Source organism: Homo sapiens, chromosome 1, assembly GCF_000001405.40.
Source record: "Homo sapiens chromosome 1, GRCh38.p14 Primary Assembly".
Classification (NCBI taxonomy): domain Eukaryota; kingdom Metazoa; phylum Chordata; class Mammalia; order Primates; family Hominidae; genus Homo; species Homo sapiens.
Window position 1 is genome coordinate 184,947,986 of NC_000001.11, and position 22,251 is coordinate 184,970,236.

At 39.3% G+C, this 22,251-nt stretch overlaps 1 protein-coding gene across 6 annotated transcripts in view; it reads right to left on the reverse strand.

Annotated features, from left to right (window-relative positions):
• The window catches only part of NIBAN1 (niban apoptosis regulator 1), a 183,477-nt gene that overhangs the window by 156,954 nt on the left and 4,272 nt on the right, over nucleotides 1–22,251 (reverse strand). For 2 of the 6 annotated variants that reach the window (XM_047444091.1, XM_047444093.1), the window contains exon 1: nucleotides 16,368–16,674. The exons of 3 other annotated variants lie outside the window; for them this stretch is intronic. In XM_047444091.1, the coding sequence (XP_047300047.1) occupies nucleotides 16,368–16,599 (232 nt within the window). In that variant the 5' untranslated portion in view covers nucleotides 16,600–16,674. Of the gene's footprint in view, nucleotides 1–16,367; nucleotides 16,692–22,251 lie in introns of those variants that run through there. One more of the 6 variants, XM_047444094.1, reaches the window with a different exon arrangement.

The window sequence follows — 22,251 nt, forward strand, 5'->3', positions numbered from 1 at the left end:
ACTATAAGACATACAGAAATGTCCCCCAAATGTTCCACTTCCAGCAAAATGGAAAAATAATGGAGAAAAAGAACTCTCAAATTATTTATTCAACCTACTCCCAGATAAGCATATTGGGATATTCAAAAATAGGAAATAAAAAAAAAATCCTTAGGAATAAGAATTATAGTCATTATATAAGCTTATGAATTTGTTTTCAAGAGTTTCTTAGATATATATGGTACTTAGAAAGAGCTAATTCCAGCACATTTCTATCTGAAACAGGTCTAGACTCAATTAACTCCTGTTCAAAGCATATATGTATTCATTTATTCATTCATGCCACAAGCAAGTTGACCTTAATAGGACAGATATCCTGGAACACAAAAAGGGTAGGAAAATGAATAAGATAAAACTTCTGCTACCAGGAGTCCAGACTAGTTACTGTGTTCCAAGAGGTTAGAAATTCAGTGTGGCTGATATATTATGCATCTATGATGGCCTTTCTTTTTAAAACTGTAATTTTAAAAAATTATTCACATTTTGACACCTAAGAAATAATTCTAAGAAAGTGATCAGAGATTCATATAAATATTTATGCATTAGGATGTTCACTAAAATATTATTTATAATAATGAAAATTTTAAAATGACCTAAATGTCCAACAAGAAGAGAATGGTTAAATAAATTACAGGATATACGACAGCCAGCATCCTCCACAGCCAATAAAACTTAAGATTTCGGAGACTATTTAATGATAAGGGAAATGTTTACAATATAATGTGGAGTGGCAGTATACCGATTTGTACAAAATATGACCCAAATTTTGTTTTTTATGTGTGTGGATATGTTTATATGAAACATTGAAAAGAGAAAGAGAAAGAAGAGAAAGGAAATAGATACTTATATTACTTAACAACAGATTGAAGGATCATGGATAATTTATTTTTTTCTATTTTTCTTCATGTTTTATGTAGTAATTTAGAATCAGAATTGTTACTTAAAATATTTAAATAAAAATAATGGCTTTTAATATTTTTCCCTAATTTTTGTTCTAAAATCTTTTGGATTTATCTTTTGGATTTGCTATACTCTGACATTTGGTGAGAGATTTTCTTTTCTTTGAAAGTGGAATATTCAGCACTTTGGGAGGCCGAGGCGGGCGGATCATGAGGTCAGAAGATAGAGACCATCCTGGCTAACACGGTGAAACCCCATCTCTACTAAGAAAAAAATACAAAAAATTAGCCAGGCGTGGTGGCGGGCGCCTATAGTCCCAGCTACGTGGGAGGCTGAGGCAGGAGAATGGCATGAACCCGGGAGGCAGACCTTGCAGTAAGCCGAGATTGCACCACTGCACTACAGCCTGGGCGACAGAGCGAGACTCCGTCTCAAAAAATAAATAAATAAATAAATGAAAGTGGAATATTGTTCAAATAAACTGGCTTATAGTAATAAGAATAACCACCACTTATTGAGCCCTTATGAACACAGTACACGCATAACCTAATTCTCACAACAAAATGTAAATTAGTTGTTATTATCCCATTTCACATACAAAGGAACTGAGGCTCAGTTATATAACTTGCGCAAAGAGGACCCAAACATGGGCTGCCCCAATCCTTCTTCCACTCTTTCCATTGAGTCACATGGCTACCCAAGTTTTTCTCCTGCTTGTCCAACTAACTATAAGTTTAAATAAGAGTAAGAGATAGCACACTGCACTTCCCTTTGAAAGCAGAGGAGTCATTAGTCCTGTGAAAAAGTTTTCCTTCAGAGTGACTATTAAAACTGAACTAGGATTATGCTAAGGGGCACATAATCAAGTGAAGAATCTCAGACTAGAATTTAGGTCTCAGTTTCTAATGGGGAAATTGGGGATGACAATATCCACAGAAAATTATGCAGTACTGGGTTGGGGTCCCTGCTCTGTCACAGACCAGCCATAGGTAAGGCTCTTGCACCCCCAGGCAATCAACAGTCATCACCATCACTACCACCATCATTATTATTGAATGGATGCCAAGAATGAAACAATAAAAAGATAATTCCATCAAATGTTTATTTAAAACTACTCTATCAAGATAATGATTTTTTATTTGCTTTATCTCCAAAATCATTTTAAAAAAAACAAGAGTTATAAAGGTAAGAACCCCACCCAACCCCAACCCAAATGAATGCATTCACCCTGTTCACTAGTGCAGAGGAGTCTGTTAATTTAGATGCAGATAATCTCATGAGATAATATAATGGTCTCTATTATCTTAACGATGAACAAGGAATCTGAGCCTGTTAGTGAGAAGGTGCACGACTTTTTTCCCAGGCCATCCAGGATTGTTTAGCATAGTGAGATGAAATTTACAAAAGGTAAGTGAATGATGAGAAGGAGTTAATATAATTTATTCCCCAATGTAATTTTCTCCACATTCTTAGGCAGGCAGGCCCCAGACACTTTGTCTTTTCACTCCATCATTCTCCTAATATGTAACAAGGGCCATTAAGCTAGGTAAAAAGATGAATTGCTAGAGATCATTATGCACGCTTTCAGCAGCCCATGAAATGTACCCAAGAACAATAAAGATATCTGATGACCTGTCAAGAAGATGCTTATGCAAATGAGAACATCATGATTATACTTCTGCTTGTTCATCTAAAGGCTATCGTGAAATATAGATTGAAAAACTTCACTTGCTCAGTAGCATCACAAATAAGAAGCTGGTTTTCGATTAGGTTATGCTAGAAATGAAAATTCATGGCCACATGCCTAATTCAGCTATAAAAGAAGACAATAATCGACATAGAACAGCATCCAACCTGATTTCCTTGGGAAACAATAATTTCATTACATGACAGTTCTTACCGCTCCCTTGAATTACAGTATTTGGTGCTGAAAATTACTTGTAATCCTCAGAAGTAAAATATATTGTGAGCATATATCATCAGCATCTTTCTGCTCTTAAATAGTAAGTGATATTTCTGACTTGAATTCAATAACCTTCAAGGTATCCATGAGAATTAAGACAGAAAGAGGTTGAGGCAATGGATATAAGCCATACAGCAAACTCCTCATGGGAGCATGAACTCAGCTCAGTTTTTCTGACACCCAGCCGCCTCCTCTCATGGCTATGTAGTGAGTGACATTGTATGCAAGAGTGAGGCATTGGCTTCAAGGAGGACCATGTGCATTAAATATTAGCTGTGTGGCCTTTGCCACAGTCTCCCTGGGCTTCAGTCTCACCATCTGCAAATGATAACAGTACCTATCTTGGAGGGTTATTATGAGAATTTAGATGAGGTAACACGTGTAATGTTCTTACCCTAGTGCCTGGCAGGTAATTAAGGATGCCACTTAACAAATGACAGTGATTATCAGATGAGACATCCATCTGCTTAGCTGACATCTCCACTTGAACCTCAATCTTAGCCTGTCCAAAAGTGAACTCTTCATTTTCTCCATCAAATGTGTTCCCCCAGTCTTCCTTCTTTCAATAAGCAGCAACTCCATTCTTTCTTTTGTTCAGGTCAGAAATTGTGGAGTCATCCTTGAAGCCACTTTTTTTCCCCTCATATTCCACATACTTCATCAGCAAATCCTGTCAGCTCTACCTCCAAAATGTATTTATAACCCAACCATGTCTCCCTACCTCCAGCTACCCCCTAGTCCACACCACCATAATCCCTGGCCCGGATCACAGCTCCAGCTTCTTCCTGTTTGGCTTGCTTCCTCCCTTGTCCCCCCTACAGTCTATTCTCTACACAACAGTCAGATAATTCAGACTATGGCGTTCCTCTCCTCGAAACTCCCCATGGCTTCTCTTCTTACACAGAGTAAAAGCCCAAGTCCTTCCAATGGCCTATAAGTCCCCCTGAGATGTGATCCCACCTACCTTGCTGCCCTGTCTCTGCTCACAGTTCCCATTGCTCATTCCTCCGTAACCACACTGACCTCCCTGCTTCATCATCCTTGGTAATGATACCATCTTATTATTTCTTAGTTTTATTTCTCCCTACCACCACCTCTATGATGTAAGTCCCATGAGAGCAGGGATTTAGTCTGCTTTGTTCATCCCGTTTCACAGAACAGGGCATATTTCTATTTGATGACTAGAAGGAAAGACACACAATGAATGCTTCATTATTATAAGAAATAGATAGGCCAGGCATGATGGCTTACGCCTATAATCCCAGCACTTTGGGAAGCCAAGGTGGGCAAGTGCTTGAGTCCAAGAGTTTAAGATCAGCCTGGGCAACATAGCAAGACCTCATCTCTACAAAAGAAAATTGAAAAAATAAGCCAGGTGTGGTGGCACATGCCTACAGTCCCAGCTACTCAGGAGGCTGAGGTGAGAGGATAGCTTGAGTCCAGCAGACAGAGGTTGCAGTGAGCCATCGCACCACTACACTCCAGCCTGGGCGACAGAGCAAGACCCTGTCTCAAAAAAAGAAAAAGAAAAAGAAATAGATGTGTTCCATGACGTTTGAGGTTTTAAGGGCTAAACCAGGGGTGTCCAGTCTTTGGGATTCCCCGGGCCACATTGGAAGAAGAAGAATTGTCTTGGGCCATACATAAAATATGCTAACACTAAGGATAGCTAATGAGCTAAAAAAGAAAATTGCACACAAAAAAATCTCATAATGTTTTAGGAAAGTTTACAAATTTGTGTTGGGCCACATTCAAAGCCTTCCCGGGCCACATGCAGCCCACAGGCCATGGATTGCACAAGCTTGGACTAAACTAAATGCTGCAAATTAAGGTTTATAAGTTCATCCTAAGTAAGTTTTTTTGAAAAGACTTAATCAATCAATTAAACAACTTGTTTCACTAATGAGAAAACCGAGGCCTAAAGACAAGCCCAAAGTCACATGGTATGTGCCAGAACCAGGATTCAAACAAGTTCTTCTACACCAAGTTCATGTACTTGCCCCTCAAGTTTATGCTGTCTATTAAGTCTGAAGCATACTGAAGTCTCAACTCCATAAATTATAGAAAATATATAGAAATTCAGTTCTGATTCCAACTGGCTCCAGGAATGGTTGACTAAGGATTTTGAAGAAAAGTATTTTATTTGATGTACAGTTTATTTAAAATCTTTGACTTTAGGTTGCAGAAGGTATACTATTATAAGTGATAAAACCAGTTGTTGAGAGTCCATGTCCCTATCACAGTGTTAAGTGCTTTACGAGGATTAGTGCAATGAGTCTTTACAACAGCCTTCGGAGGTACTATTATCCCCACTTTGTAGTGGAAGAAACCAAGGTTAGAGGAGGCTAGATAACTTGCAGAAGGTAGCACAGCTAGCAAGAGATGGGGCCATTATCTGTACTTGGGTGCTCTACCTCCACAGCCAATGCCCTACTGAATCAAGAAAGCTACACAGTTAACATTTTATGGTAAATGTTTCTTAAGGGTTTAGTTGCTCTGTAAGTTCATTTTATTTTGTCCACTCTTCTAAAAATGAGACATATTATAAATATCATTTTGAAAGCGTCTTTTACATATCTTAGTGAAACTTATGCTCATTTGCAAAATACATCATATGTGTATATTTCTCCTTAGAATGAACAATGCAGAAATTTAAACATATCCCTGGAGAAATGCTGAGTTTGGTTATCAGCACACCTTAAGGCATCAAATATTTTCATTAAAAACATGTGGAGACATGAAGGTTTGTGCTCCCTTTCTCAGACATCCACTGATGTCAATAGCAGTGATGATCTGAAATAAACAAAGTAGTTAGCTATAGTACGCCTCAGGAGTTTCTCGTGGAAGTGCCAAATAATGATACCGAAGGGAGGAAATGCTGAAACATGAAATGTGTGAGTAAGTGGGTTAGTCACTAAAGTTGTCATGGGTCAGGAGACATATCTTATGGCTTCTCAGAACTTAACATTCCAGAAATCACTGAAAAAGGTGAGAAAGTTCAGAGAAAATGAGACAACCTCAGAGTCTAGTGACGGTGTTTTCCAAAGAACACTGGATAAGGTAATTATGTTATTTCAATTTCAACTGCAAATTATATGATTCAAGGAGCACTTCATTACTCAAAATTCCTAAGGGGGAAAGATTATGTATTGGTACTACATTGTTTAAGATAAGAAACTTTTTAAACATCTAAGCCCTTATCTGAAACATTATCTACATACACAACGGCTCAAATGTGATTTTATGGAAATCGGTGAGTTAGAGAGGGAGAGTAAGTTGGATGGGGGAAACCTTGGACTATTCTAGGACAAAAAGTTCAGAAAATATTCCAGACCTTGGGAATTTGGTTATAGGTCTAGAGTGGAAGCCAAGAACAGAAAATGAGACAAAAGAGAATGAAACTCATCTGTTATTTCCCTTAACTGCTATCCACGGTGCCACCTCCTGGCTAGGAAAAAGGGGTAGTCATGTGAAATACTAGGTTTTCATATCTTTCCATCCCTTTAAGAGAAAATTCAGAAGAGATAAGAAAATCTTAGCATTTCCTTGTGAGTTTAACCATTCAGCTAAGGGAAATGCAGAAGACCAGGGCAAAGGCAAATGACCTCAGGGCCTCTTTTATCTGGGTTAATGAGGGAGTCAAGCACGAGCCTGTCTGGCTGGCTGCTTGTGCCTGCAGTTCTTCAGGGGCAGGGCAAATTATACTTAAGTTTTAAGTCTAGGGTTGAAAATACATCAGATTGGAAAAAAGGCTTGTCATTTTCGGGATGCTTATGTGTAACTCAGAATCAGAGTATATTCTGGTTTGAACTGGAAACTTAAATCTTGGAAATGTTTGGTTTGGTTTGGTTGGATACCATGGATTATGAAAAGAGCTCTGCACCAGGAGTGTGGAGACCTGAATTCCAAGCCTATGTGTGCTTTACTAGCTAGGCAGATGAGAACAGCTCATTCAGCTTCTGAGATTACAATAAAAGAGTTGGATTAGATGCTTATCTCTAAGTTTCCTTGCAGCTCTATGAATCTTCTATGAATCTTTATTCGAGAACAGCTGTCTAAAAGAAATGCCATGTGAGCCATAGATGTAAGCCTCAAATGTTATTTGGTCTTCCAGTAGCCACATTAAAATTTTTTAAAAACTGATTACATTAGTTTTAATATATGTTATTTAGCCCAATCATAGGGCCAAAATTGTATTACTTCAATATGTAATTGCTATTAAATAGCAGTTTTGTATTAAATAATATTAATTATTTTACATTATTTTCTTTGTACTAAAACTTCAAAATTGGTGTGTATTTTAAACTTGCATCATATCTTAATTTGGACTAGCCACATTTCAAGTGCTCATTAGTTATATGTCCCTAATGGCTGCTGCAATGGACAAATAGATATAAAAGGCTTCAATCTTTTCTTTTCTTTTCCTTTCCTTTCCTTTCCTTTCCTTTCCTTTCCTTTCCTTTCCTTTCCTTTTCTTTTTTGTTTTGTTTTTGAGATGGAGACTTGCTCTGTCACCAGGCTGGAGTGTGCAACCTCTGTCTCCCAGGATCAAGCCATTCCCCTGCCTCAGCCTCCCGAGTAGCTGGGACTACAGGTGCGCACCACCACGCCCGGCTAAATTTTTGTATTTTAGTAGAGACGGGGTTTCACCATGTTGGCCAGGATGGTCTCAATCTCCTGACCTCGTGATCTGCCTGCCTCAGCCTCCCAAAGTGCTGGGATTACAGGCGTGAGCCACAGAGCCCAGACTCAACTTTTCTTACATAAAGAATATGAAGCCTATACCCTGCCTTCAAAATTAGAATCCACTTAAAGTAGAAAATGTATTCATTGAAATGTTAGGTTCAACATGTTGAGGGTGATATAAAGGAAAAAGTGACAATAAAAACAAGGGATAGGACTTTTGACAGGAATTGCCAATGGAAAGATACAAAGGCAAGGTGTGTCATGTAGAGATGAGAAGGTTGGGCAGAAATAATGTATGCCACCTCCAGGCCTGGAGCACAAAATCTACCCACATAATCCTCCACTGTCTATCTGCCCTTATCTGCAGATGTATGCACAGTGTCCACTTAGTGTCTTTGTGGCCCTAAGAATCATGAAGCCACTAGCCATTAGGTCAGGGATTATTTTTTCTTTTTGTTTGTTTTTTTTTTTTAGAGCCAAATTCTCACTCTTGCCTAGGCCGGAATGCAGTTGTGCAATCACAGCTCACTGCAGCATCTCTTGATCCTGGGTTCCAGCGATCTTCCTACCTCAGCCTCCTTAGCAGCTAGGACTACAAGCATGCGCCACTACATTTGGCTCATTTTTGTTTTTTGTAGAGACGAGGTCTCACTATGTTGCCCAGGCTGGCCTCAAACTCCTGGTCTCAAGCGATCCTCTTGCCTTGGGCCTTCTAAGGTGCTGGAATATGCCCAGCCAGGTCAGAGATTATTGATCTGGAGCCTGTAGACCCTCATGGGCTCTGTGGATAGAATTCAGGCCATCCAAACACTGAATGGAGGAAAAGAACACCTGTGTTTTATTAACCTTCAACTCAAATTCAGCACTTCTCCAACCCTGAATGTAGGCAACAAAACAGTGTAATTTAGCAGTACTTGTGACTTTGTCACCAATAGAGCTCACAGATGTTTTCGTAGCACATTTAAGTTGCTGCATATCTTAGAATAGCACTTCTTCAAAATGACAGTAGTTATTAAACCCTCCATGAGACCTTGTCATTGAATGCATTAATAAAGAGCACATATATTACCATATCACAGATTTTAAAAATATTTTGATAACTACAGTTCAATAAAATTGGTTTCTTTTATCATCCTCTCTATATTTTTTTCATTTAAAAATGTTACTCTAAAAAGGGGTCCATAGGCTTTAACAAACCACCAAAGGTGTCCATGGTACCATGCACTAGATGAAAAGAGTCTGGGTCCACACACAAGCCCACTGCCCTTCATTAGCCCCCCACCAAATCACCCTGGATAGTGTGATGAGTGAGATACAAATCACTATAAGCCACTGAGCGTTGATGTCTGTTTCAGCAGTTAGACCATTCTAATTAATGTACAACTGAAACATGGCTTCAGGCCACTGCCACTGGTTAACATTGCCACCAGCTTCCCTGCATTGAAGAGAAGACACCAGCAGTGATGTGCTGGTAAACTGGGTCTCAAAAACCAACAACAACACAAAAAGACTCCCACCATCGCTGGTTTCAAGCTATCAATGTGATATCACTGAGCTCACAGTTAGGAAAAGATGCCTGGATTCAGCTGTTGCCAGCCAGTGTGAGCTGGCTCCTAGCACAGCACTGGGGTTGCTCTCCCTCACAACCATTCCGAGAAGGGTGTCTTCCTATTGTCCTTCCCTGGTTTGAGGGGAGGAGTATGTGTAGGACCTTGAGAATAGTTGTTTAAAGGTGCCTATTTAAACCCTGCGTCCGACTCTTTCATAATGAATAAATAAAGCAGAATACCTCACAGGCAGTAATTTGTAAATTCAACAAGCTGTTGAAAAGAACCTAATTAGTACTAATTACAACACTAGAGTGTCCCAACACATTATAATGCCATTGCTTCTGTAGAGGCATTGTGTTTAAACACTCTGAAACATTAATTAGTCTGCAGAACAAATGTGTGGGCTAGGTATTATTCAGCAGTATGTGAAAGCCAATCATTTACTCTGCAAAGGCCTGATGCCATTACTGATAGTAAAACAAATTGATTAACATAATGGTAGGACTGGGAAATGTGAGAATTATATCACATTTATTACATTATATTATTCATTTCTGACCCTCCTTTTCTCACTGGGCATTACTACTGTCCTCATTTTCATAGGAGAAACTGAAGGCAGCCAGTTGACAAGTCCAAAATCTCCAGAGAATCCAACTTCAGATTCAGCGAGTCCTCAGGAAATTATCGTGCCTGTTTTCCAAAGGTGAAAGCTCCATTTATTTATTTTTTATTGTATGCCTTACTTCCCAAATATAAATATTTTATTTGATAATGAAGAAGTTGCATAAAGGTATCATTTTATTTAAAGTTAGCTTAAAGTGGCTGCAAAGGCTGCTTTGGGCTATTCATAAATTCCATATTAGGTGTTGCTAACATTTAGGTGACTTTTAATTTCTGGATTAAGCTATTTATAATCTACCATCTCACCCACTGAAAATATCCACTTCAAAAAGTAGCCAAAGGCCTGGCACAGTGACTCACGCCTGTAATCCCAGCATTTTGGGAGGCCAAGGCAGGTGGATCACTTGAGGTCAGGAGTTCAAGACCAGCCTGGCCAACATAGTGAAACCCCATCTCTACTAAAAATACAAAACAATAAAAAATAGCCAACTGTGGTGGTAGGAGCCTGTAGTCCCAGCTACTCAGGAGGCTGAGGCATGAGAATCGCTTGAAGCTGGAAGGCAGAGGTTGCAGAGAGCCAAGATCACACCACTGCACTCCAGCTTGTGTGACAGAGGAGTCACACACACACACACACACACACACACACACACACACAAATAGCCAAATAATTTAGAATTAAGATATTGAATCAAAAGTTTAGTAAATGTTTCCACTTAGCTCATTTAAGGTAGCTAAAGCAGCTGAGCGTTCAAATCCTATCACGCTGATACTCCTTTTCATTAAAGAAAAAGCTATGTATACTTGGAATTTCTAAAAGAAACACTTAGAATTTCTGGAAGAGCATTTGATACCCTGTTACCTTTCGTCTAAGATATTTACTTGCCTGGCACATAGTAGGCACTCAATAAATGTTAGCTTTTACTACAGTGATTATCATTTCTCAGGCCAGGAGTTAGCATTTTTAGTTAGGAACTGATATCTCACTTGACATGCTCAGGTCTTAGTCATGCTCTAAAATTCTTACTTACTTTAAATGTAAACCATACATTTCAATTATTGTTACTAATTTAATTCTCCTCTCTAACAAAACCATTTTAAATATTTATACTCCAGATATTACACATTTGCCATTGTTGCTCATAAAATTTGGCTTTATTTTAACTCTAAGCCTGCATCTGCTTTGCTTAGGCAATTTTTCCTGTATAACTTGTGTTGAATGAGTTACACAGGAAATAATCCTTTAAACAAACGCATTCAATCCAAATTTGGAAAATCTCTGAATTCTTTTTAGCTAATCATGGAAATTGTCACTTGTTCTGTGTGCGAACCAGAATTAAGGGCACAAGGCCACCAATAATGATGTGCTTTTTAAAGGAACATCCACAGTTTTCCCTCATTTCTGAACTGATCCTGCTCAGCTGTCTGGCCCCAGACCAGCCACATCTCAGCAGCTCCCAGTGTACATTCAGTTCTCTGCAGGCTACTTCGTTCCTCTCCCAACTCCATGGAGAATGTTGGTAGCAGGGCAGTACAGCTACATTCTGCCTAGATGTTCCAGCAGGCTACAGAAACACAGTAGTCATATTGCTCTTGCCTGAAGACTGGAGACTAGGAAGATTTTTTTATATCTTCCATTTTTCTCATCATGTTCACGTTTGCCTCTGTGTTCGCACATGGAGCATATAATGACTGCTTTACCATCTTTGTCTGCTAATTTCGCCATGTCTATAATTCCTGAGTCTATTTCTATTGATTTATTTTCTTTATACTTGTGGATATTTTCCTGCTTCTTCTTCTGCCTACTGTGATAGTTTTTAACTGGATGATGGATATTAGATATTGTGAATTTTACATTGTTGTATGGGTATTTTGTTGCATTCTTATAAAGAATTTGCACTTTATTCAAGCAGGCAGTTAAGTTACTTGGGATCAGTTTGATCTGTTTGAGGTTTGCTTTTAAATTTTTATTAGAGCAGGTCCAGAGCAGCCTTCTAGTCTAGGGCTAATTTCTGCTCACTACTGCTGAAGACTCTAACTCATATCTATCATAAGGCCTTTCTACTTTGGATGATGGAAGCATGAACTATTTCCAGCTCTGAGTGAAGTCCAGGAATTCTTTGGCCCTATAAATCAGAGACACATGATCTTCTGTTCTAGAAAATAAGCTTTTACTTGTTTAATAATTTTCTCCCGTTCATTTTCTTTGTTCTCTTGTTTTCTGGGACTTCTGTTAGTCAGATATTGAAATTTTTGGATTGACCCTTTAATTTTTTTTATATTGCCTCTTCTATTTTCCATCTGTTAATCTTTGTACTCTATTGTCTAAGCAAAGCAGACAGAGGCTTAAAGTTAAAATAAAGACAAGTTTTATAAGCAACTATGGCAAATGTGTAATATCTGACATATACATGCTTAAAATGATTTTTTAGAGAGAAGAATTAAATTAATAACAATAATTGAAATGTACTGTTTAAATTTAAATAAGAATTTTAGATCTTAGAATTTAGATGCAAGATCCCCTCAACTTTATTTTCCAAGGCACCAATTGTATTTTCTAAAATGTTGATCACCAGATTTTTAATTTCCAAGAGCTCTTTCTTATTCTATTATTGTTTCTTCATCACATCCTGAACTTGTTTTACAAATGAAATACTTCTCTTATTTTCTAAGATATTCATTACAGTTTAAAATTTTTTCTTCTCCTTTCATTCATGCATTAAGCAAATATTTATCTGTCAGGAACTGTGAACCAAACACTGATCTATTTGCTGAGGGTGCTATTCATTTCATAACAATGAATCAAGACAAAGACCCTGCTTTCATACAGCTTACATTCTAGTGGTGGCAGACAGACAACACCAACAACAACAACAAAATGTTGTTGTTGTTGTTGTTGTTGAGACGGAGTCTACTCTATCTTGCCCAGACTGGAGTGCAGTGGCACAGTCTCGGCTCACTGCAGCCTCCACACTGCAGGTTCAAGTGATTCTCCTGTCTCAGCCTCCAAAGTAGCTGGGACTATAGGCACGTGTGCCACCACACCCGGCTAATTTTGTATTTTTAGTAGAGACAGGGTTTCAACATGTTGACCAGGCTGGTCTCGAACTCCTGACCTCAGGTGATCCACCTGCCTCGGACTCCCAAAGTGCTGGGATTACAGGCGTAAGCCACCACGCTCAGCCAGGCAACAAAATATTAATAGGCATCCCCTCCCATCAAACCTCCCTCTTGCTCACTACACTCCCAACATAACACCCTTTCTTCAATTCCTTCAAGTACTTCCCCCTCCTCCCCCTTCTATATGCCGTTCTTTTTTTTTTTTTTTTTTTTTTTTTTTTTCAGACGGAGTCTTGCTCTGTCGCCCAGGCTGGAGTGCAGTGGCGCGATCTCGGCTCACTGCAAGCTCCGCCTCCTGGGTTCACGCCATTCTCCTGCTTCAGCCTCCTGAGTAGCTGGGACTACAGGCGCCTGCCGCCACGCCTGGCTAATTTTTTTGTATTTTTAGTAGAGACGGGGTTTTACCGTATTAGCCAGGATGGTCTGGGTCTCCTGACCTCGTGATCCACCCGCCTCGGCCTCCCAAAGTGCTGGGATTACAGTAGTGAGCCACCGCGCCCAGCCTACATGCTGTTCTTTCTAACCAAAATATACTCCCCCGGTTCTTCACACAGATAGCAACTTATTATCCTTCTGAATACCACAGCCAAGTCTATCTCATCTCCTTGCCCAATTGCCACCATCAGTTTTCTATCTCAGTGCTGTTTTTAATCCCTTCGTGACACTTATCAAAATCTGTAATGTTGGTTACCTACTTAATAGCCATCATGCTTCCTTCTTGCTAAACTGAACCTGATTCTGTTTGGGTATCCATGACCCTCCCTATAACCATGTGCTTCAGAGAAATGGCTCTAACCCCAGTTCAGGGGTGAATCTTGATTGGTCTAACCAAATCATGATAATTCCATACTCTTGCCAGTGATGGCTTAGGAAGGAATGTGTGACCCCATTTTGATCAGTGGGATGTAAGGGAAAGTCTGCTAGTAAGGCATCTGGGAAAGGCTTCTTTGCTCTTATAAGGAGACTCAAAGAATAGACAGATCTCTTTTTAGCCTCTAGGACATTGCTGTGCGTAAGAATTTAATACTATTTACTGCTGCAGCCACCTTTCAAGCATAAGAGACCTGGGCCACAGACAGTAGGAAGAAATAAGCTGGCTTTTGGTGATATCACTGAGCCACTTAATTAATCCTATCTTCATACTTCTTTGTTACGTTCCCATGAGCTCTTCTTGAGGAATCTACTGGGATGAGCTCTAAACACCAGAGAGAGACATCAACATAAGGACTGATGCATTAAATAACACTTCATTGTGAAACAAAGAGTGAATGAGAAAAGAGAATAGAATATAATGATTATATGGTTTAATGTAGTAAAATCATAAAATAAACGTGGGGAAGAATTGGATTAGCATATACAAAAAGTTTGTCTCTGATTTTAAAAACAGTTTGTTCAACAGCTTTCCATAATCATAATTGATGATGGCAGTATTTGTATTATTATTCTGAGACTGTTGTGTGTATTTGGTATGATAAAGCAAATGAGAATTTGTGTATATTTAATTCTATCATTGCCTAGTGCCTTTGAGAACCATGATTCTCAGTGTGGAAAAGGATATGTATAAATATAATATTAAAAAGATATATTTTCCCTAGTTCTATAAACTAAAAAAGTCCAGAAATAATGGCCAACCCAGTTGTAGCAGTAAACATAGCTAGATTCAAATTGTAATATTGAAATATTATTTCCCACTAAAAGAAATCAGAGGTTCTTATAGATTTTGCTTACTCCCTGTATGGGACAGGAAAGAAACAGGATGAACCTAAAACATCTTGACATACCAGATGGCAAGGAAGCTATCAAATACTACTGGGGTAATTTCCAAAAGATTCAGGAGCCAACTTGAAGAGTTTTTCATTGGCCAATGATGGGAAATTGGAGCTTCAATAAAATAAGAATTACAATGGGATTTGTGAGTTCATAATGATTTTTATAGTCAATTGATCATCTTTAAGGGATGTCAAGAAACCAGTAACTTATATTAAACACTGGTAAATAAAAGGAAAAAATAATGTTTTTTTCCTGCTTTTGAACTATCATACTAGGTAACCAAATGATAGATATGGGAAGTATTGCTCTATAAAATTATCCCAGCTAATAAATGAAAACAAAATGACATATTAGAATATCACCATTTTTCAACCCCCAATAAATTTTTTTTCATTTTGTATGACTTTTATTAATGCAAGTGGTAAAGTAAGAAAAAAATACATAAGCAAATCAAAATTCCATGTAATAGAAAAATAAAAATTTTTTAAAGACATTTCACTGTGACCAAGTAGGGTATATCTTAGCAATGGAACAATATTTTAAATATTGAAATTCTAATGACCACATTAAAATATTATTAGAAAAAATCAAGTCTTTAATAAAATTCAGTATATATTTATGATTAAAAATTTTAAGCAACTTAACGAAAAGGGGGGAGTATCCTTAAGCTAAACCATAAATCTATGGTTAACATCACACTTAATAGCAAAATGGGGAACATCCCTTTTCAAGTAGGAACAGGATAAGGATGTTTGCTGTCATTCTTATTGCTGAATATTGTGCTGGAGGTCCTAGTAAATTCAATAAAAAATGAGGTATAAAGATTTAAAAGAATTGAAAACTGTCAAATTTGCAGATAATACATGCACACAAAAAATCAGAGTGAATGAACAAATTATTACAACTAATAAGAGGCCTTGAGATGTTTGTAGGATACAAAGATCAACATGCAAAAACAAAATAGCTTTCTGGTGCTCTTAAAATAACCAGATGGAAAATACAATAGAAAAGAAGAACACAATCCCAATAGTAAGAAAAAGTGAAAGGCACCAATAAATAAACTTATTAAACATTTTTGTAAAATTGTTATGTAGAAAACTATACAACTTTAAGGATGAAAGAAAAGCATGTATTATGGAAGAGATGTGCCATACTAAGGTTTGAAAGACTCAATATCATACAGATGTCACTTCTTCCTAAATTCATCTGTAGATTTCATGCAATTTCAATAAAATTACAAAATGGTTTTTCATGAAATTAACAGTTTAACAAATATGGAAGGATAGCCTACACCTTCTGACAATGAGTAAGAAGAAAGAGGGTCTTGCCCTTTGGTTATTAAGATTTATCATAGAGCAATAATAACTAAATCGGTGTTATACCAGCACAGAGATTAGACAAATAAACCAAGGGACTGGACTAAATAAGCTAAAAAAAAAAAAAAGGAACCAAGAGCCATACATTTCCAGTCAATGAGTTCAGTTCAGTTCTACCATTGATGGTAATAGTTTGCAGGAATGAGAATCCTGTAAGTGTTTAATGCCTGAGTGACTGCTGAGGAGTGGAAGGGACAACGAGTTTGCCTAGGATGCAGATGGGGAGTTTTTCACAGAGCTCCCTTCAGTCAGGACTTCTAGCAAAAGATAGGATTTTCCGAGTGCTCTAAAGAAAACCAGAAGGCTTAAAATCCAAGAACAGGAAAAGTTTCTGATACTTACTCATGTGAGAAAAAGCATGCACAGAGAAGAGGAAATTCAGATGAAAGGAGCAATGACTGTGACCATCTGGGAGGCAGCACAGCTCGGTTAACAGCAAGGACTTTGGAGGCAGAAAGTATTTAAGTTCAAACCTTCTTCTACTACATACTGGCTGGATGACTTTGGCCAGGTTCTCTATTCTCTGTAAACCTTGATTGCTTCTTCTGTGAAACGGAGCTAATGATATCTCCATTTGGTGTTGTGAGGATTATGTGAGCTCATGCATGCAATGCTCTTAGCTCAGTGTCTGTCCCATGGTAAGGGTTCAACGAAGACTCCATGGCAGCTTTCTAGGGGAAGACAAGAGGGAAGGTTGGCGGAGAGGAAAGAGAGGTCTGTCCTGGCCAGTGTTGCTCATGGGCCGAATCAGAGAATACTGAAATTCATGGTGGCATTTCCAAGAGGGTAGAGATGATTTTGAAGTACCTAATATATGTTGCCTTTATTATTTCACCGTTCAAAAACTTTAATTCTATTTCTCATTGAATTTCAAGTTCCTCTAAAGCGGAGACAGTTCAACCCCCAGTGAATTAATGGGTCTCAGCTATAAGTATCAATGGAACAGCTACTAACATCACAAAAAGAGAGGCAGCCAGCTGTTATGTGCCTCCAGATGAAGAACACAGGGCCGGGCGCGGCGGCTCACGCCTGTAATCCCAGCACTTTGGGATGCCGAGGCGGGCGGATCACGAAGTCAGGAGATCGAGAACATCCTGGCTGACACGGTGAAACCCCGTCTCTACTAAAAATACAAAAAATTAGCCAGGTGTGGTGGTGGGCGCCTGTAGTCCCAGCTACTCGAGAGGCTGACGCAGGAGAATGGCGTGAACCCGGGAATTGGAGCTTGCAGTGAGCCGAGATCGCGCCACTGCACTCCAGCCTGGGCAACAGAGTGAGACTCCATCTCAAAAAAAAAAAAGAGAAGAATACACACCACCACCTATAGTCTTCACAAAAGGATTGATTCTTTTCTGTGGCGGCATAGTATTCCAAGGTGTATATGTACCACATTTTCTTTATTGATGGGCATTTAGGTTGATTCCATATCTTTGCTACTGTGAATAGTGCTGCAATGAATACATGCATGCAGTCCTTTGCAGGAACATGGATGGAGCTGGAGGTCATTATTCTTAGCAAACTAACGCAGGAACAGAAAACCAAATGCCATTTATTCTCACTGCTGAGTGAGCGCTAAATGATAGGTAAGTACACATGGACACATAGAAGGGAACAATAGACACTGAGCCCTATCAGAGGGTGAACGGTGGAGGGGAGAGGGAGGATCAGGAAAAATAACTAATGGATACTAGGCTTAATACCTGGGTGATGAAATAATCTGTACAACAAGCCCCCACGGCGCTTCGTTTCCCTATGTAACAAACCTGCACGCGCTGCACATCTTCCCCTGAACTTAAAATAAAAGTTAAAAAAAAGGATTGATTCTGAGACTGATCAAGTCTCACTATCTCTGTCAATTTGTAGAAAATACAGGAGAAATGTGTGGAACTGCACCATGAGTAAACTCCAGACTGTGAAAAACTCTGCATATCAAACAGCTCAAGTCTTTCAACAGATAATCTGCGAGTAAAAGATGTAAGGGAAATGTGTAGATTAAAAGAGACATCTTTTTAAGTGAGTAAGACTATAATGTTTACAAATACATAGTTGGGTGATGAAACCATAAGGAAATAGAGGCAGACATTATTATAAAAGCTAGGATTAGTGAGGTGGTAGTCTGTTACCAGGGTAGCCCTTGCATAGGTGTTCATGCCTGTGTGTAGTCCTCTCTTGAATCTGGGCTGGCTCTGAGACCAGCTTTAACCAACAAAATGTGGCAGAGTAATGTGGCGCCATTCCAGGCCTAAGCCACAAGAAGTCCTAGAAGCTTCTACATGCTTTTACACTCTAGCAATGTAAGATCCTGACCCACCATTTAAACAGTTCAGTATCCTATTGGAGAGGTCATGTAGAAAGGCCACCTGGAGAGAAAGAAAGCCTTGTCAGCTAAGTCCAGCCACCAGCTGATCCACCAGATGCATGCATCCACAGGAATGACCACCAGCAAAAATAAAAAGTAGAACCACCCAGCCTGGACCCAGTTCAGCAGAATTGTGAGCAAATAAATACCTGTTTTAAGAGTCAGGATCTTTGAGGTAGTTATAAATAGATAACTGAAAATAGTGGTCATTTTTGGAGAAACAAAGAGGTCTAGAACTGGGACGGGGCACACAGAAGCCTCCTTTGATGACTAGTGAAGCTCTTTCTATGTCTTGACCTGCGTAGTGGCTACTAAGTATTTGCCTTATAATGATTCACTAAGCTATGCATTTGTTTTGTGTGGCTGTCTGGGCCTATGTTTTCTTTTAAAATAAAAATAGTTTTTAAAAAGGAAAAAGAAAAAAAACCACATGGTTTGGCATAGAGACATTTACCCTTCTTCCAAAATTCCTTGAGACCATGGACCTTTTAAAAGTCACTTTGGGGCTCCTAGTAAAAACTATTAATTTATTTTAATCCTATAGACTCATTCCATACAACATCAAGCATAGAAATACAAACTTCCTTAGGTCCTAGAACCTGCAATTTGCAAAAGTGAATTAATTGCTTTCATACCTCTAAAGCGTTTATTCTCTTTTCTAAGTGAGAAAAAACATACAGTACCAAGGTAGGGGGCACTTTTTAAAAGCTGGCATGCATTTTCGCATTGGCAGCAACTTGCTAGTCTGTTTTTAAAATGAATTTTCCAGTTTCAAAGGAGAAAATCTGTATTGCATTTGGGGTTCTGTTAAATCTCTTTCTCTCTCTTTCCCTCCCTCTCTCTCTCTCTCTGTGTGTGTGTGTGTGTGTGTGTGTACATATGTGTGTTAGTTTTGAACTGTTGGGAAAGTGCCTTAAACAGACTGTAGCAGATGAATTGTGCTTTTATTCTCCTGTCTTCCTTTCCATTATGCTTTTATCTTCACTTCTGACTTCATTTCCCATTTCACAGTGCAAATTGTTATATGTACCTTATTTCTTAGAGTTACCCAGCTATACTAAAAAAAATTAAAATTTCTGATTAGGAGATTAAAGTTCACTGCCATGATTCACACTGCATATTTTGTAAAACGTTCACAGTACATTTATATTAATGAAATTAGAAACTACCTTTACAAATTGGGCTCCTGCTATTGCACTTTCTACCTGTGAACCCAGTTCAAACCTTCCCAGAGATTACAATAAAGTAAAAAGCTCAGTAGTTCACAGTAAAAGATAATAAAAATTACTATTGTCATCCTAGTAGTTACTATTACTAGAGCACCTTTGATGATGTGGCCCTCTTACAGCCAACGTCCATAGTAAAAAGAAGTTTTTCATCAAGACCAGGGCTTGATTCATCATCTAACTCCATGGGATTTATCAAGGCTTGTATTAGAAGCCACAAGAGGGAAAGTCACTCTTTGTTCCACAAGTACAGGAGAAAATGTTAATCTGTCTCAGTCTACTGTCTTTTCTGTCTTTGTGGTTGACTCTTAGAAATCACAACTCACGGCCGGGCGCGGTGGCTCACGCCTGTAATCCCAGCACTTTGGGAGGCCGAGGCGGGTGGATCATGAGGTCAGGAGATCGAGACCATCCTGGCTAACAAGGTGAAACCCCGTCTCTACTAAAAATACAAAAAATTAGCCGGGCGCGGTGGCGGGGGCCTGTAGTCCCAGCTACTGGGGAGGCTGAGGCAGGAGAATGGCGTGAACCCGGGAAGCGGAGCTTGCAGTGAGCCGAGATTGCGCCACTGCAGTCCGCAGTCCGGCCTGGGCGACAGAGCGAGACTCCGTCTCAAAAAAAAAAAAAAAAAAAGAAATCACAACTCACAAAATCCTTCATGGCTTTGCAACATGAGATTTGGTTTCCTAAAGAGCTTCCCATTTCTAAAGTATTGGTTTCAATTCACAAAGACCAAAGGAAATAGAAAGTAATTATTGATACTAGCAACTCCTAATTTGCAGTAGTTTTACTTATTTGAAACTCCTGCTAGCTTCCTTGGTAGTCTGGCATGCTTGAAGGCATTTTTTTTCACTTAAAATATAAAGTGATCAATATGCATTTGTGCACTATTCATAGTGGACCCTCTTTCTCCTGTTTCCTCCATCCCCACTACTCTGGAGGAGCTGCAATTTCTCACTTCTTACAAAAGCCTATTCATGTCTACAAATTTAGAGCTGAGACAAATACTATAATCTTTACCCACTTTCTACTTTCTTTGGATTACTTTTTCTGAAAGGGGACCCAATAAGGCAGCATTTAGTATACTGGTTAGGATGCTTTGGGCCGCACGTAAAAAGAAGATAACTGTATTAGATAGAATGAGGTTTGTCTATGGACAACAATAAAACCACAATAACACTGGCTTAAAGAGATGGAAGTTTCTTTCTTTCTTTCTTTCTTTTTAAGGTCCAGAGGTAAATGGTCCAGGGCTGGTATGGAGGTTCTTCTCTATGAAACCACAGGAACTTAGCCTCCTTTTGTCCAGTTACTCTGCCCTACATGTGCTCCTTCTTGAAAGGACACCTCATGGTCCATGACAGCTGTCCAGCCATGGTTACAATCCAGCCAGCAGTGTGGAGACTTGGACGAAGATGGTCATACCCTTCCCCTTTAATGTCACTTTCTAGAACAGCACTTCTATCTACATCCCATTGGCCATAACTCAGCTACATACTCCCATTTAGTTGCAAAGGAGTTTGGGAAATATCTTTATTATGGGAGTTCATGTGGACAGCTAAAATTTGGGGATTCTATCATTAAACATAATGGGAGAATGCTATTGTGGATAACTAGCAATCTTCACTATTCCAATTCAAAGGGGATTTAGTGGCTCTCACAATACGAATTATGCAGGGTTAGTATATAGTGGCTATCAGCAAAGTTTGTCAGGGCTCTAGCTTCTTTTCTCTGAGACACCTCAGCTTTGCAGTGCTCCAAGTATTGGCTTTGTCTTTAGGCTAGCTCCCCTCCTGCTCATCAAGATAAAAACAGCAGTTGCAGGCATCACATTCAGATGCAACAAAGTCAAAAGATGGAGAAGAAGTGCCCTTCACTTTGCCTCCTTTTTAAAAGGGAAGAAAAGTCGCCTAGAAGCAGGTGGCAAACTTCCCCTCAAGCATCACTGACCAGCTGGCAACATAATCCCATGCCTACTATAATCACTGGCAAGGAGACCACACCACCACAACAGGTACAGACCAATCAGCAGCCACCTTTCAGGGACCTTAAATGGGGCTAGTGTCTCTGAAACAGAGGGCAATATCAGGAGTTTCTTTCTTTTTTTTTTTTTTTTAAAGAGAGAGACAAGGTCTTGTCATGTTGCCCAGGCTGGTCTCAAACTTCTGGGCTCAGGCAATCCTACTGCTTCAGCCTCCCAAAGTGCCGGGATTACAGGTGTGAGCCACCAAACCTGGCCAGGAGTTTTAATGCCTGAACAAAACTGGAGTTCTGTTAGAAAAAGGAATGGGGGCTGGGCACAGAGGCTCATGCCTGTAATCCCAGAACTTTAGGAGGCCAAGGCAGGTGGCTCACTTGAGCTCAGGAGTTTGAGATTAGCCTGGGAAACATGGCGAAACCCCGTCTCTACAAAAAAATACAAAAAAACTACCTGGGCATGGTGGCACATGCCTGTACCCCCAGCTACTAAGGAGGGTGAGGTGGGAGGATCGCTTGAGCCCAGGGAGGTCGAGGCTGCAGTGAGCCATGACTGTCCCACTGCACTCTAGTCTGGGTGACAGAGTGAGACCCTGTCTCAAAAAAAAAAAAAAAAAAAATGGAGGAGTGGGAAAAAGATGTTGGGTTGACATACCACGGTGTCTAC